At 50.6% G+C, this 14,660-nt stretch overlaps 2 protein-coding genes across 12 annotated transcripts in view, besides 8 other annotated features; one reads left to right on the top strand and one right to left on the bottom strand.

Annotated features, from left to right (window-relative positions):
• On the bottom strand, positions 334-6,005 carry G6PC3 (glucose-6-phosphatase catalytic subunit 3). 7 transcript variants are annotated; one of them, NM_001384168.1, is made up of 7 exons: positions 5,964-6,005; positions 4,867-5,050; positions 2,412-2,518; positions 1,908-1,998; positions 1,591-1,709; positions 1,227-1,368; positions 334-998 (listed from the first exon to the last, which is right to left on the bottom strand). In NM_001384168.1, exons 4-7 carry the CDS (start codon positions 1,976-1,978, stop codon positions 635-637), a joined length of 696 nt encoding a protein of 231 aa, NP_001371097.1. In that variant the 5' UTR covers positions 1,979-1,998; positions 2,412-2,518; positions 4,867-5,050; positions 5,964-6,005; the 3' UTR covers positions 334-634. The 7 variants fall into 7 exon arrangements, with proteins under 7 accessions (NP_001371097.1, XP_011523776.1, NP_001371095.1 ...); XM_011525474.4 differs by lacking the exon at positions 5,964-6,005 and adding an exon at positions 5,436-5,943; NM_001384166.1 differs by lacking the exon at positions 5,964-6,005 and adding an exon at positions 5,495-5,943 and having other exon boundaries at positions 4,857-5,050.
• Positions 670-1,404: an enhancer, noted in NCBI's record as "H3K4me1 hESC enhancer chr17:42152642-42153376 (GRCh37/hg19 assembly coordinates)". NCBI's record gives its function as "activates a minimal SCP1, AML or CMV promoter by ChIP-STARR-seq in naive H9 embryonic stem cells {active_cell/tissue: H9 hESC(naive)}" and the evidence as "EXISTENCE:reporter gene assay evidence [ECO:0000049][PMID:30033119]".
• Positions 3,821-4,746: an enhancer, noted in NCBI's record as "H3K27ac hESC enhancer chr17:42149300-42150225 (GRCh37/hg19 assembly coordinates)". NCBI's record gives its function as "activates a minimal SCP1, AML or CMV promoter by ChIP-STARR-seq in naive H9 embryonic stem cells {active_cell/tissue: H9 hESC(naive)}" and the evidence as "EXISTENCE:reporter gene assay evidence [ECO:0000049][PMID:30033119]".
• Positions 5,247-5,296: an enhancer, noted in NCBI's record as "active region_12251". NCBI's record gives its function as "activates an Ori minimal core promoter by ATAC-STARR-seq in GM12878 lymphoblastoid cells {active_cell/tissue: GM12878}" and the evidence as "EXISTENCE:reporter gene assay evidence [ECO:0000049][PMID:35858748]".
• Positions 5,417-5,656: an enhancer, noted in NCBI's record as "active region_12250". NCBI's record gives its function as "activates an Ori minimal core promoter by ATAC-STARR-seq in GM12878 lymphoblastoid cells {active_cell/tissue: GM12878}" and the evidence as "EXISTENCE:reporter gene assay evidence [ECO:0000049][PMID:35858748]".
• Positions 5,674-6,600: an enhancer, noted in NCBI's record as "H3K27ac-H3K4me1 hESC enhancer chr17:42147446-42148372 (GRCh37/hg19 assembly coordinates)". NCBI's record gives its function as "activates a minimal SCP1, AML or CMV promoter by ChIP-STARR-seq in primed H9 embryonic stem cells {active_cell/tissue: H9 hESC(primed)}" and the evidence as "EXISTENCE:reporter gene assay evidence [ECO:0000049][PMID:30033119]".
• Positions 6,601-7,528: an enhancer, noted in NCBI's record as "H3K27ac-H3K4me1 hESC enhancer chr17:42146518-42147445 (GRCh37/hg19 assembly coordinates)". NCBI's record gives its function as "activates a minimal SCP1, AML or CMV promoter by ChIP-STARR-seq in naive H9 embryonic stem cells {active_cell/tissue: H9 hESC(naive)}" and the evidence as "EXISTENCE:reporter gene assay evidence [ECO:0000049][PMID:30033119]".
• The window catches only part of LSM12 (LSM12 homolog), a 33,260-nt gene continuing 27,690 nt past the window's right edge, over positions 9,091-14,660 (top strand). For 3 of the 5 annotated variants that reach the window (NM_001371445.1, NM_001369484.1, NM_001369485.1), the window contains exons 1-2: positions 10,007-10,214; positions 12,744-12,877. In NM_001371445.1, the coding sequence (NP_001358374.1) occupies positions 10,091-10,214; positions 12,744-12,877 (258 nt within the window). In that variant the 5' untranslated portion in view covers positions 10,007-10,090. Of the gene's footprint in view, positions 9,236-9,944; positions 10,215-12,743; positions 12,878-14,660 lie in introns of those variants that run through there. The other 2 variants (NM_152344.4, NM_001369486.1) reach the window with 2 other exon arrangements.
• Positions 9,925-10,044: a silencer, noted in NCBI's record as "silent region_8572". NCBI's record gives its function as "represses an Ori minimal core promoter by ATAC-STARR-seq in GM12878 lymphoblastoid cells {active_cell/tissue: GM12878}" and the evidence as "EXISTENCE:reporter gene assay evidence [ECO:0000049][PMID:35858748]".
• Positions 10,335-10,474: a silencer, noted in NCBI's record as "silent region_8571". NCBI's record gives its function as "represses an Ori minimal core promoter by ATAC-STARR-seq in GM12878 lymphoblastoid cells {active_cell/tissue: GM12878}" and the evidence as "EXISTENCE:reporter gene assay evidence [ECO:0000049][PMID:35858748]".

The following is a 14,660-nucleotide window of genomic DNA, read 5'->3' as shown; positions in this document are numbered from 1 at the left end:
ACTACTCTTTTCTCCAGCCCCTGGACTAGAAGCCGATTTAGGAAACTGGAGGTTGGGGCGCAAGATCTGTCCTGTAAGTGAAAAGACAGGGTTATACCGAATATAGTCACAGCATCTCATGGGACCTCTCATGTGGCCTAGGCAGTGATGAGGCAGGGGACCCAGGGCTGAGAGGTCTCACCTGAGTTTACAGCCCTCTCCTTTCCTGCCTCTCTGCCCCTGGAAACAGGGCTGGAGATGGCACAGAGACTACTGGAGCAGCCTGGCAAAGGTTCCACTTGTGCACACACAGGCAAGGCCCATGGAGATGTGCGCATAGGCAAGAAAGGAATCTCAAAGTATTCAAGGGCTTTATTGGGGCCGCCCTGGCTGCCCCTCACAGTGTTGCAAGAACCCGCTGGTCTTGCTGTTGCCTTTGCTCTTTGGGGGCTTGAGAGGAAAGGCAGAGGGAGGACCAACTTATCTGGGAGAGAGAAGGCCCATCTTTGGGGCTAAGACCAGGTGGTGCGGAAGCAGATTTAGGGAGGGGAGGGCCTACTTAGGGGCTGGAAGGGGATGGGGCTGCCTCCTGGAGTGTGGTGGTCACAGAGTGTTGGCTTTGTGGGAGGGAAAGGAAAGGGAGGCACACAAGAAGTCAGGAAGAGTGGATGGGCGGTGCTTCCTGGGCACTGAACATGTGCACTGCCCAGGGCACGAGGGCCAGGACTAGGCATGGCCAGAGGGTGTACTTGAGGAAATTGAAAATGTAGAAGAGGCTGATCTGAGGGGGGTGGCCCAGCCAGTCCAGGGGGCCCAGCAGCCCCATGGCCAGCACAAGGCAGGCTATCTTCTGGCCATTTCCCAGCTGTGCCCGACGCACCTGGGCATAGCAGGGAGAGTGCAAGGCAATGCCCAGGCCCAGGGCAGCCCCTGAGTCACGGCTCAGGGAGGCAAAGGGCCGGCTATCCACGTGTATCCACTCAGGCCGCTCACACCACTTGAAGGCTAGGCTGATGGACCTGTGGGGAAGAAGAGTTCTTGCCAGGAGAGGCTGGAACATAGAAGGCCACTGGCTCTTGGCCATCTGCCCTTGGGGCCCACTCCCATGTTCTGTTTTGTGCCTGTGAGGGTCTATGTGAATAGGTAATGTGTCCTTTTTTAGCTATAATGAACCAGAGACACACCAGGCTAGGTGCAGGCGAGATAGGACAGGGCCCAGCCTGCCCAGGCTTCAAAGCGAGACTTACCAAGAAAGATCCAGGCCCAGTGTAAAGAGGGTCCAATAGATGAGGCTGGTGCCTAGCATGAGGGCCAGTGCAGTCAACCCATAGAAGCTTAGCTCCCGCTCCATAGGCACTCGGGGAGTCATCAGCCAGCCCAGGACAGCGCCTAGGAGAGTGGAGTGACAACAGCTTCAAGGAGTCTGGGGATATGACCCTCCCCACCCCGACCCCCAGCTGCAGTGCAGCTTGGCAAGAGAATAAACTGAGACATAACGGGGGGCCTCTGGGGTGGGCTCTACAGAAGCTGGGAGCGATGGGAAGATCCTAGACTGATCCTCCCACTGCCAAAGGCATCCTCTCAGTCCACCCCGTTGCCCCAGTTGCTCACCAGTTATTAGGCCAGCCAGCACCTGGTGAGGGAAATGTGCTAAGATGAAGATTCGCGACAAGCCAACCGCCAAAAGGAAGGTGCAATAAGCCAGGCTAGGCATCACCCTTACCCAGCGGCTAGAAAGAAGAGAGGCAAGGAGCTCAGAGCGTGTCCATACACAGCTTGGCCTCCTGCAGCACCCAGGTACTCCATGGTTGAACCACACAACCTAGGGTCCCCAAAACTCCAGCTCCCAGGCTGCCATGCTGCTGTGTCTATTAGGTACAGGGTGCCATCACCCCTGCTCCCAATGGTGGGCAATGCCAAGGGTATACCTGCGGGCCCGAGTGGCCACCTGCGAAGACAGGGCCGTCATTATGGGCCAGAGGGCTGCTCCTGTGATCATGCAGTGTCCAGAAGGGCTGCCTGCCAGCAAATCCAGAAGCTCGTGGTGAGAAGATGGAGGCAGAACCCCGGGGCCCCTGGTGATGCCTCAATAATACAGCTGCCTTTCCTGGCTGAGAAGAGCTTTTCCCCAGCACTGATTCATAACTCGCTCTGCTCTGAGGCCTTTTTACTGCCACTTGAGGTCACTGTGCTCAGGTTTCTGTCCTGATCTGTGTCTCTTGGCTGTCCTCTATACAAGGTGGGCAGCTGGTACATAGCATGAGTGCCCTCCTCCCATAACTCAGCTTGGTCTCCCTGGGGTTCTTTTGTTCTCTGCGCCAGTAATTGAGAGGCTGGTCCTTTGGTTGGGCCACCCAGGCTGAAAAGTACTCTGAAATGTTCACCCGAACCCTAACCACATTGGGAAAGGGAGAATGTTTGAGGCTTCCCACCTGGACCAGTCTCACAAGAAGAGGGGAACTGGTGAACCTGGGCTGGAGCCTGGCTGTAGTAACCAGACTCATGGACCCACCAAAAGGGCCTGTCTCCAAAAAGAAACCTGGAAGAGAACAGATGCAAGATGACTTTCCACATGCACACACAGCCAGGGGGGGTACAAGGCGGGCAGGACACAGAGTACTCTGGAGGGCCTGAGGGGTGAAGTCAAAAAGGGACTACGATTCTGTCCACTGCTCTCAAGGTATCCATGGATACCTTGCCATGGTTTTCTACCTTAGAACAGGAGAAAGAAAGCACACTATTTCTTTTCTTTTTTTTTTCCTAACCCTCAGCCTGTGGAAACACTATTTTTAAAAACTAGTCTGGGGCCAGGTACAGTGGCTCATGACTGTAATCCCAGTACTTTGGGAGGCCTTAGCTGGAGGATCACTTGAAGCCAGGAGTTCATGACCAGCCTGGGCAACATAGCAAGACCCAGATTCAACAAAAACAAAAAATTAGCTGGAAGTGGTGGTGCACACCTATAGTCTCAGCTACTTGGGAGGCTGGGCGGGCAGATCACTTGAGCCCAGGAGTTCGAGAATAGCCTGGGCAACATGACAAAACCCCATCTCTACAAAAAATACAAAAATTAGCCAGGCATCTTGGGGTGTGCCTGTAGTCCCTGCTACTCCAGAGGCTGAAGTGGGAAGGATCACTTGAGCCCAGGAGGTTGAGGCTGCAGTGAGCTGTGATTGTGCCATTGTACTCCAGCCTGGTGATGGAGTGAGATCCTGTCTCAAAAAAAGAAAAAGTGAATAAAATAAAAAATAAAACTGATACAGAGGCAAGAGATTGTGGTAAGCCGTGTGTGTGCTCTGAGATACTCAGCCGTCCCACTCTACCCCCTCTCACTGCAAGGCCAGCTCTTATCATCCACAGAGAGTCCAGGACCCAGCTCTCTCCTCCAGGCCCTCACTAACCCTCCTGCTACCCCTGCCTCCATGTCCCCAGTTACAGCCTGAATTATCCACACCTAAATTATTTAGGTGAGCCTCTCAGGTCTGAAAATGGGGGTGGGAAATGGACAGAGAAGGCTGAGAAAGAATAAGGAGGACAAAAAAATGTCAAAATCCTCTGGTCTAGCAAGTGCTTGGCTGGGCCCTGGGAACCACACAATGAAGAGGCTGCTGTGGCCAGAAAGAGAAAAGATGGGATAGCAAAAGAGATGCTGGCAGGAAGCCACGTGCTGGGGAGGGATATACAGAAGGCACTTGCCTCTCCCCTCTGAAAACTGAGCCTAGTATATATACAACAAGTGCTCACACAGAAAATGAACGGCGGTGCCAGGCGCGGTGGCTCACGCCTGTAATCCCAGCACTTTGGGAGGCAGAGGAGGGTGGATCACTTGAGGCCAGGAGTTTGAGACCAGCCTGACCAACAAGGTGAAACCCTGTCTCTACTAGAAATAAAAAATTAGCCGGGCGTGGTGGTGGGTGCCGATAATCACAGCTACTGGGGAGGCTGAGGCAGAAGAATCTCTTGAACCTGAGAGACAAAGAGGTTTCAGTGAGCCAAGATCATGCCATTGCACGCCAGCCTGGGCAACAGAGCAAGACTCCATCTCAAAAAGAATAAAAAAAAAAAAAAAAAGAATGCCAGGTTGCTCACGCCTATAATCCCAGCACTTTGGGAGGCTGAAGCGGGCGGATCACCTGAGGTCAGGAGTTTGAGACCAGCCTGGCCAACAAGGCGAAACCCCTTCTCTACTAAAAATACAAAAATTAGCCGAGTGTGGTGGCACACGCCTGTGATCCCAGCTACTTGGGAGGCTGAGGCAGGAGAATGGCATGAAGCCGGGAGACGGAGTTTGCAGTGAGCCAAGATTGCACCACTGCACTCCAGCCTGGGCAACTGAGCGAGACTCCGTCTCAAAAAAAAAAAAAAAAAAAAAAGAGAAAATGAAAATGAATAGGGACTTTGCCACTTGGGGGACATTAATAGTGTCTGAAGGAGATTGTGATCTTTGGGGGACAAGGAATAGAGGGGGAGGCTTATACAGACTTTGAGAGAGGAGAGCACAAAGCAAAGGGCAATTAGGCAAGAAAGAAGTGAACAGATCACTGTGGTTCCCTTTACATAAGGATGAGGCCCTCGTGGAAAAGAGTGGAAGGGAGGGGAACTCTATGTTGTTTTTCAGCAAGTCATTCCAGCTCATTGAAATACCTCCTATGAGCCTCCCTTCCTTCCCCCAGGCTGAGGATCTGGCAACAGAGGCTGAGGTGAAGGGAGGTGTGGCTGCATGCCCAGCCCCAGGGGCCACAGGGCCTCCACCCATGTCCCTGGGATTCCTGGCTTCTAAGTCTCAGTGTGAAGAGTCTACTGGTGAATGAAAGAGAAAGAAGAGAAAGTGTTCCCTGGAAAGCAGTGCTTTAGCCCAAACTTTACTGCATACGCACAGGGAATCACCTGGGAACCTTGTTAAAATGCAGATTTTGATTCAGTAGCTCTGGCCCGGGGCCTGAGAGTCTGCGTTTTTAGCCAGTTTTCAAGTGCTGCCTATGCCGTTGGGCATGGTCCAGGGACCACACCTTAATCTGCAAGGTGTCTCTGTCCTTAGCAGCTACCGTGATGCCCAGCACAAAGCATGCTTCTGAAAAATTATAGCAAATGAATGAATACATGAATGAAAAAGTGAGTTGAGAGGTAGGACTCTCCACTACTTAAATCACCATATTTGTTAAAATATGAATTCCCATAAACCAAAAATAAAAAATAAAAAATAAATTCCCAACCCCTTGGAGTTTCTAAATTAGTAAGTGTGAGATGAGGATGGGATATTTACATTTTAGACACGCCCCTTAGGTGATTTTTCCATCAGACCAGTTTGAAGAACACTGGTCTAATGAGTAGGATGGTTGGACTCTGAGGTTTGAGTCCAAGCTGCACAAAGATGCTCAAGGGGAAAAAAAATCAGGGACTACAGAGTAGGGGTGGGAAGGCCCTTGAGACAGTTGCTGAAAGAGACCAGGGCTTACACATGACTCAGGGCCCTCGGGGGTGGGGACCAGGATGCCGGAGGGCTTCTCTGTCTCACCACTTGAAGATGAGGTTGAGCCACTCGGTGATGAGGCTGATCCAGAGCACCGCGATGCCCACACGGCGGGAGGCGTAGTAGGCCGCGGGGAAGTAGAACAGAAAGAGGATCTTGGGATCGCCCAGAAAGGTGATCCAGAGCCACACGTTCTCCAGCCAGGCTAGCTGGTTCTGTAGCGCCTCGGCTATCACGATGCCCGCGCCCAGCGTGGACTCCATGGCGGCCCAGCTGCCGACCAGGCCCCGGCTTGCTCCAGGGCGGAAACCAGAGTCCAGGCAACGAAGCAGCGTCGACCCTCTGATCTCCAAAGCCCACCCCTCTGAGCCCCAGGCCCCGCCCCGCCAGCGGTCACCACCAAGCCCCGCCCCCAGCAGTCCCCCGCTCCTGCAAGACCGGCCTCCAGCCGGTACTGTTTCCTCCTGCGCTCTCCTCCGGTTTTCCTCCCTACTGGGCAGCGCAGGGGACAAACCTTTGTAAAGGCGTTTCCTCAGGGCCCCACGTGGCCACTGTTGCAGGCACGTGGGCAGCCGGCTAGCGGCGGCACCAGTGCGGTTCCGGGTCAGGGGACTGACTAGCCGGCGGGCCGCGCGCGCTCCCAGCGTCCCTGCTCCGCTGATGCGAAGGCGGATATATAATCTCCAGGGCCGGGATTCTTTCCCCACCGGACCTCTCTTCTCCAGCACCAATACCCACCAAAAAAAAAAAAAAAAAAACAAACAGCAAAAAAATAAATAAATCTGAGATCCTTTGGAGAAAAGGCTGCAGACAGCCCCTCCTCCTGGGAGCTGAAGCGGGATCCTAAATTTGCATACACCCCTAATCAGTTCACTCCTTCCTCCCCAGCCTCAAGACTCCCCCTTTCTAATTCGCCTGCTATTAATCTGGAGGCTGACAGATAAGTCTCTTGATTTTGAGGGGTCTTCCCTAAAAAGGCGAATTCTCACATATAGCGCAAAGTCACACTTCCTTCCAGTTCTTCCCTTGCTTCCCCCACCCCCATCCTCCTGCCATCCAAAACCCTGCTTAGGCAGATGAAACCAAGAGATAGTAACAGTGTTGGTATGGGAAGAGGATTGGCACACACCCGCGACAGAGTTTGAAACAGTCATCTGGGGGAACTCACATAGAAAATAGAAATCTCAGCTATTCTAGGCGAGGTCCTGCCTAGAATACTGTTGAACAGTGTCTCCTTAGTTTCTTCCTACCTCAATCAACTTTGTTCTTGAAAAGTTTTTTTTTTTTTTTTTTTTTTGCCGGGCGCGGCGACTCACACCTGTAATCCCAGCACTTTGGGAGGCCGAGGCGGTCGGATCACAAGGTCAGGAGTTCCAGACCAGCCTGGCCAACATAGTTAAACCCCATCTCTACTAAAAATACAAAAATTAGCTGGGCGTGGGGGCACGCGCCTGTAGTCTCAGCTACTAGGGAGGCTGAAGCAGGAGAATCGCTTGAACCCGGGAGGCGGAGGTTGCGGTGAGCCGAGATGGGACCACTGCACTCCAGCCTGGGCGACAGGGCGAGACTCTATCTCAAAAAATAAAAAAAAATAAAAAATAAAAAAGGTGCTGGGCACAGTGGCTCACCCCTGTAATCCCAGCACTTTGGAAGGCCAGGGTGGGTGGATCACCTGAGGTCAGGAGTTGGAGACTAGTCTGACCAACGTGGAGAAACCAAACCGTGTCTCTACTAAAAACACAAAATTAGCTGGGTGTGGTGGCACATGCCTGTAATCCCAGCTACTCAGGAGGCTGAGAGAGGTGAATCGCTTGAGCCCAGGACGTGGAGGCTGTGGTGAGCCAAGATTGTGCCATTGCATTCCAGCTTGGGCAACAAGACAGAAATTCCGTCTCCAAAAAAAAAAAAAGGTGTAAAGGAGGGAAGCTGGATATAAATCTTCGTTTATTGCCTTTGTAGTGAACAGAATTTTTATTCCTATTACAATGATTATACCAATACCTCCAACACCAGGAAGTTTTTTTTTTTTTGAGACGGAGTCTCGCTCTGTCCCCCAGGATGGAGTGCAGTGGCGCGATCTCAGCTCACTGCAACCTCTGCCTCCTGGGTTCACGCCATTCTCCTGCCTCAGCCTCCCAAGTAGCTGGCACTACAGGCACCCACCACCACACCTGGCTAATTTTTAGTATTTTTAGTAGAGACGGGGTTTCACCATGTTAGCCAGGATGGTCTTGATCTCATGACCTCGTGATCCGCCCGCCTCGGTCTCCCAAAGTGCTGGGATTACAGGCGTGAGCCACTGTGCCCGGACAATACCAGGAAGTTTTTAATTGCCGAAGAGAAAGCCTACATTGTTTACCGAGTCTTTGAGGTTTGCCCTCAACCTTAAGCAGCCTACTCCCACACTCCGCTTTGTAATATTTCTGACCTATACATTCCTTGAAATCACCAAGTTCTCTCCTCTTAGGGGTCCTGGCCCGTGCAGTTCCCTCTGCCTGGAACATGGCCACTCTTTTTCCTTGCCAATCCTTCAGGTCTCAGTAGAGATTTTTCACTTCCTCCAAGAAGGCCTTTCCTAATGGCTCCTAGAAGTCTTATATGAAAACCTATAATCACGATTCCATATAAAAAGTGGAAAACTGGAATGGCAATTATGTATGATTTATTATGGGGGCCAGAACAAGGATGAGAGGCATGAAAGTTCTCTGAGGCCGGCCACATGGCTCACGCCCGTAATCCCAGCACTTTGAGAGGCCAGCCGAGGCGGGAAGATTGCTTGAGCCCAGGAGTTTGAGACCAGCCTGGCCAACATGGTGAAACCCCATCTGTACTAAAAGTACAAAAATTAGCCGGGCATGGTGGCTCGTGCCTGTAATTCCAGCTACTCCGGAAGCTGAGGCAGGAGAATCGCTTGAACCTGGGAGGTGCGGGTTGCAGTGAGCCAAGATGGCGCCACTGCACTCCAGTCTGGGTGACAGAGCGAGGCTCTATCTCAAAAAAAAAAAAAAAAAAGTTCTCTGAAAAAGCACACTATGAAGGAGCAGAATTTTTATTCCTATTATAATGAGTGTATCAATACTTCCAACACCAGGAAGTTTATGTTTCTTGGAGGGCAAGGAAATACTTTTGAACTTTGTTCAGGTTAAGCCGCGCCAAGACTGGCCCTTTGCTTCCCTCTGGACTAGAGAAAGGTCAACCTGTTTCTTATACATGAAGCGAGGATCCAAAATTTCTATAGTGAGCGGTGGGTGGGTTAGCGACAGCCATTGGTGGTAGTAGGGCTTGAAAATGCACGCTCATAGTCCTTTGCATAAGATTAAGAAAACGACTGTTTTGTACATCAGACGGACATTCAAGGGCAGGGGCGCAAAACCCCTCCTCCAAGCCCCTTTTTGTCACTATCCGCTGCTCCTCATTCCTGCCTTTTGCCTGGCTTTCTGGGAGAGAGGGCAAAAAGGGAGAAGGGGAAGTGTCTTGACTTCTAAGAGTGATGGGTGACTAAGGGGGAACTACCATTTATTAAAGACCTAGTACATGCCATGCACTTATACCCGTTACCGCATTTAAACCTCCTAACTATGAGGTAGGTATTATTATGTAACAGAGTATAGCAGTAAATAGCACCGTCCTTGGAAATAGGCAGACTGTTTTTGCTAGTTGTGGAACCGTGGACAAGTTTAGTCTAAAACTTAGTTTATGTAAAAGGAGGACATTGATTCCTACCTCAAAGGGCTGTTAGATGCTCAAGAAGTGACAATACAAATGCCTATGAAGAAACAGGATCAGGTAATTTGCTTGCTCAAGGTCAGGTGATTTAGTAAGAGGCTGACCTCGGATTCTGGTTCCAGCTTATCTAACTCCACAGCCAATGTTCTTTCCACTATCACTCAGTAGTTATAATCATCTTTTTTTGTTTGTTTGTTTGTTTTGAGACAGAGTCTCGCTCTGTTGCCCAGGCTAGAGTGCAGTGGCACAATCTTGGCTCAGTGCAACCTCCGCCTTCCAGGTTCAAGAGATCCTCCAGCCTCAGTCCCCCTAGTAGCTGGGATTACAGGCACGCGCCACCGTACCCGGCTAATTTTTGTATTTTTAGTAGAGACGGGGTTTCACCATGTTGGCCAGGCTGGTCTCGAACCCCTGACCTCAGGTGATCCACCCGCCTCGGCCTCCCAAAGTGCTGGGATTACAGGCGTGAGCCACCGCTCCCAGCCTTATAATCATCTTGTCCAAGTATCGTTAAGTCCTCTGAGGCTCTGATTCCTCATATGCAAAATGGGGTTAACATATTTTATAAAATTCATTCATTAAACTCTTGTGTGGAAGGTGTGCATATAATGGAGACTGCAGCTCCCTCCTCTTTCCCCTTTTCATTCCACGTAGGTCATTTATCCTTAACTTCTAAAATGGACTCTACAAGCACTTAACCGAGCGGACGCAGCTATACAAATACTTTTCAGATTCCCCTTTATTTCCTCTTCTTTCCCACTCCACCTAGGATCCCGCCCCAACCAGCGCCAGGCCACGCCCCGGCGTGTGACGCAAGCACGCTCCGTGCGCGCCGTCGCGTCGCGGCGCTCACTGGGGGCCCGGCTTTCGCCCGCTGCTGCCGCCGCCGCCGCCGGCCGCGGCTGCACTCCCAAGATGGCGGCTCCTCCGGGCGAGTACTTCAGCGTTGGGAGCCAGGTGTCGTGCCGGACGTGCCAGGAGCAGCGGCTGCAGGGCGAGGTGGTAGCCTTTGACTACCAATCCAAAATGCTGGCTTTAAGTATCCTTCCCTGCGTGAAGCCCGAGTCCGGGCCGGCGTGTAGGTGCGGTGGTCGGGGGGTGGGGGACGACGGCGGCGGCTGGGGCTCTCTCCGGGCCTAGGGGCGACCGGCTACCGCGGCGCCCGGGGCGCATGCGCACGGCCCTGAGCTCCCCTCCCCCTCCCGCGGGCCCTTCGGTCAGCTTTGGGGATCCTGTCTCTCTCTCTTTGCGGGAGCTGGGGCTTTACCGAGGATCAGTGGGTGGAGGAGGGCTTGACACGGGGATGGCTTTTTGGGGGGAACGTTATGAGAGGGGACACAGTAATTAGGAGAGGGGGTGGTGGTGGGAGGGGGCTGATGGATTGGAGCCCGGATGGAAAGGAGGGGCGGGTGAAATATTATGGGGAGGGGTGTTTAGGGTAAGGAACTGCTGGTAGGGCAAAGGTATGGAATTTAGGAGGGCATGTGCACTGATGGGATTTCGTCCAAGGAAGGGCGGTGGGATGGTGACCAAATTGGTCCTTGCCTGTTTTGGGGGAGAGTAAGTTCAGGGCAGAGTTTGTATCTGAGCTAGGGATAGTGGCTTGTTTCGCTGATGCGTGTGTATGTGTGGTGGGGGGGCTGTGCTGATTTTTAGGCTTCTCGGTCATTTGGAAGTTGCTGTTTAGGGGATGTTTGCACTGGAAACCTGTTCCAGAGAGGGCTTGCCAGGGGCTTATGTGGTTTGGGGATGTGTGAGTTACAGGTGAAAGAGTGAAGTTCTCATGCTGCCTTGATCAGTCCAGCACATGGAGTCCTTTTACGTAGTAGCAGCCTCCCTTTTGAAAGTAGCAATGTTAAACTGATTGGAAAAGGTGGCCTGCTTCTTTGGGGTGGAAGTGACTTCTGAATTACTCCAGGAAACTCAGTCTTGGAAATGAAACACTTCCTTGTTGGGATAAATGTGCCACGGCTTCCCTTTTTATGTGAGCCACAGGTGGGTTTATTGGAATTTTTTTTTGGAGGAGTAATTTTTTATGGCATCTTTTTTTTTTTTTTTTTTTTAAGATGGAGTCTCGCTCTGTCGCTAGGATGGAGTGCGGTGGCGCAATCTCGGCTCACTGCAACCTCCGACTCCCTGGTTCGAGCGATTCTCCTGCCTCAGCCTCCGGAGTAGCTGGGATTACGGGCACGCGCCACCACGCCCAGCTAATTTTTGTATATGTTTTTTTTTAACAGAGATGGGGTATCACCATGTTGGCCAGGATGGTCTCGAACTTCTGACCTCGTGATCCGCTGGCTTCAGCCTCCCAAAGTGCTGGGATTACAGGCCTGAGCCACCGCCCGGCTTTTTTTTTTGTTGTGTTTTTTGAGACGGAGTTTCACTCTTATTGCCCAGGCTGGAGTGCAATGGCGTGATTTCGGCTTACTGCAACTTCCGTCTCCCGGATTCAAGCGATTCTTCTGCCTCAGCCTCCCGAGTAGCTGGGATTGCAGGCATACGCCACCGTGCCCGGCTAATTTTTTGTATTTTTAGTAGAGACGGGGTTTCACCGTGTTAGCCAAGATGGTCTCGATCTCCTGACCTCGTGATCCACCCGCCTCGGCCTCCCAGAGTGCTGGGATTACCAGCGTGAGCCACCGCGCGGCCTAAGAATAGTTGCTTTTTTAAAAAAATAAGAGGTTACACCTGGAAGAAATAAGACCTTTTACATTAGTGGTTTAGTTGGAAGGGTCTTGTAACTAGGAATTACTTTTTTTTTTTTTTTTTTGAGACGGAGTCTCGCTCTGTCACCTAGGCTGGAGTGCAGTGGCACCATCTCGGCTCACTGCAACCTCCGCCTCCCGTGTTCAAGTGATTCTCCTGCCTCAGGCTCCAGAGTAGCTGGGATTACAGGCATGTGCCACCACACCCGGCTAATTTTTTTTTTTTTGGTAGTGACGGGGTTTTGCCACTTTGGCCAGGCTGGTCTTGAACTCCTGACCTCAAGTAATCTGCCCGCCTCAGCCTCCCAAAGTGTTGAGATTACAGGCGTGAGCCATCACGTGAGCCTGGCTGAATTACTCAACTTTTACTTGACATACAGTAGGCTCTTAAATGGTTGGAGAATGAGTTTGTGAATGAATGAATGGATTAACTGGCTGGGTCACCTTGGGTGAATTTCCTTTCCAGTGTGTAGTTTTCTCCTCTGCAAAATGGGAAAGCTCACATCTGAAAGAGTAAAAAGAATACTGTGCAGACACAGAGAGTATTATACGAAGAACAGAAAGGTCTAGCTCTTTTGTCTGGCTCATAGGTTCAAGACAAACGCATTAAATCTGCATTATGCCTCTCCATAAAGCCAGTAGAGAGAAAGTGACAGAACTCCTTTGGAAGCTTCCAAGGATTTGGGCAGGAGGAAGGTGACAGGCAGAGATTTCCTGAGGAGAACCGTGATTCTTATAAGGCCCTCATGCTCCTGGCCTGCCTTTTACAAGCCTTGTGTGAATCGTGTTTTCTATGCCCCTTTTGGGATGTGTCAGTGCCTCTGCTTGTCCTATTTTTCCTTAACTTTTTTTTTTCTCACCAGAATGTCCCTCTTCCAGTGGAAAGCCCAACCATGCAGACATCTTGCTCATAAACTTACAGTATGTTTCAGAAGTGGAAATAATTAATGACCGAACAGAAACCCCTCCTCCCCTAGCTTCACTCAATGTTAGTAAGGTAAGGACTCAAGGGCAGATCTGGCTCTCTAAAATGGTGGGAAAGATGAGTCTCATTGAGTCTTAGTGATACATTGTTGTCTATTTTTTATTTTTTAAAATTGACTTAAAATTGTTTGTTCTGATATCTTTTTAAAAAATGTAGGTTTAGTTTTTCTCTTTATTCCTGGATGTTATCAGTAGATCTTAAGAAGTAGCTTAACTCCCAAATAAGTTGAGAGCTTGCTTCTGCCTTTATGAAAGAGGACTTTTTAAATCTTGGAGTTCATGATGAACTAATAGTGCTGCTGGGGTTTGGGTGGTGGCGTTACCTATGAATGTCTTCAAATTGTGTATATGTGGATGTGTGCATACGTGAATATATGCATTTTCTGCTTGAAGATCTAAAGTGTTTTTCAGATTCTCGGAGGGTTTCATGACTTAGAAAAGTTTGAAAGCCACTGTCTTAAAGGTTCTTTTTTGTCTTTATGTTTGAATTTTGAGTTCTAACAGTTACATGCTTAGCATATTTTAATCTTGCACATAAAAGTTGATCTCTGGGAACCCCCAAGTCACTTTTGTGTGTGTATGTGTGAGACAGGGTCTTGCTTTGTTGCCCAGGTTGAACTTGAACGCCTGGGCTCAAGTGACCCTCCTGCCTCGGCCTTCTGAGTAGCTGGGATTACATGCATGCGTCACCATGCCTGCCCAAGTCTTTCTTTTTATTGGAGCCACTGCGCCCGGCGTTTTTTTTGAGACAGAGTCTCTCTGTGTCGCCCAGGCTGGAGTGCAGTGACGCGATCTCGGCTCACTGTAACCTCCGCCTCCCAGGTTAAGTGATTCTCGTGCCTCAGCCTCTGGAGTAGTTGGGACTACAGGTGTGTGCCACGACGCCTGGCCAAATTTTTTTTTTTTTTGGAGACAGGCACACACTGTCACACCCGGCTAATTTGTTTTATTTTAGTAGAGACGGGGTTTCATTCTGTTGCCCAGGCTGGTCTTGAACTCCTGAGCTCAGGCAGTCTGCTTGCCTCGGCCTCCCAAAGTGGTAAGATTATAGGTGTGAGCCACTGCTCCTGGCTCAATTTTTGTATTATTAGTAGAGATGGGGTTTCACCATGCTGGCCAGGCTGATCTTGAACTTCTGACCTCAAGTGATCTGCCTGCCTCAGCCTCCCAAAGTGCTGGGATTACAGGTGTCAGCCACCATGCCCGGCCCTAAGTCACTTTTTTGACAATTCCGTTTATTTAGTCAAAATTGAAGTTGATCATAATAATGCCTCAAGCCCTGTCATAGCCTGTGCTGTCCCCTGTACTTGGAACATTTTTCCTTCCAGAATGACTGGAGCCTTACCACCCATCAGCACTCAGTTAAATGGCACGTCTTCCAAGAAGTCTTCTCTGATCACCCAGGCTGAAGTAATTTGCCTGCATTATTCTCTCTCATAGTACCTTGTCCTTCACAGTTAAGGTGACCATATCATTTGTAGTCCAACCTGGGACATTTTTGAGAGTAAAGGGGAATGCTTTTATTTTACACAGGGACAACAGGTATAGATTAGGTTACCCTATTCATAGCTTTTTTTTTTTTTTTTTTTTTTGAGACGGAGTCTCGCTTTGTCGCCCAGGCTGGAGTGCAGTGGCGCCATCTCAGCTCACTGCAAGCTCCGCCTCCCGGGTTCATGCCATTCTCCTGCCTCAGCCTTCCTAGTAGCTGGGACTACAGGCGCCCGACACCACGCCCGGCTAACTTTTTTGTATTTTTAGTAGAGACGGGGTTTCACTGTGTTAGCCAGGACGGTCTC

The sequence above is a fragment of the Homo sapiens genome, chromosome 17 (genome assembly GCF_000001405.40).
Source record: "Homo sapiens chromosome 17, GRCh38.p14 Primary Assembly".
NCBI lineage: Eukaryota > Metazoa > Chordata > Mammalia > Primates > Hominidae > Homo > Homo sapiens.
The sequence above is the reverse complement of the archived record's forward strand: the minus strand, read 5'-3'. Positions and strand labels throughout refer to the sequence as shown.

Excerpts from the sequence above, each read along its gene's own strand:
- G6PC3 (NM_138387.4), bottom strand. The coding sequence starts at position 5,712 with ATGGAGTCCACGCTGGGCGCGGGCATCGTGATAGCCGAGGCGCTACAG. Across the intron at positions 1,710-1,907 it reads GTGGCCACTCGGGCCCGCAG|CCGCTGGGTAAGGGTGATGC; the intron begins GTATACCCTTGG and ends TCTTCTTTCTAG. Across the intron at positions 999-1,226 it reads CTGGGCCTGGATCTTTCTTG|GTCCATCAGCCTAGCCTTCA; the intron begins GTAAGTCTCGCT and ends TCTTCCCCACAG.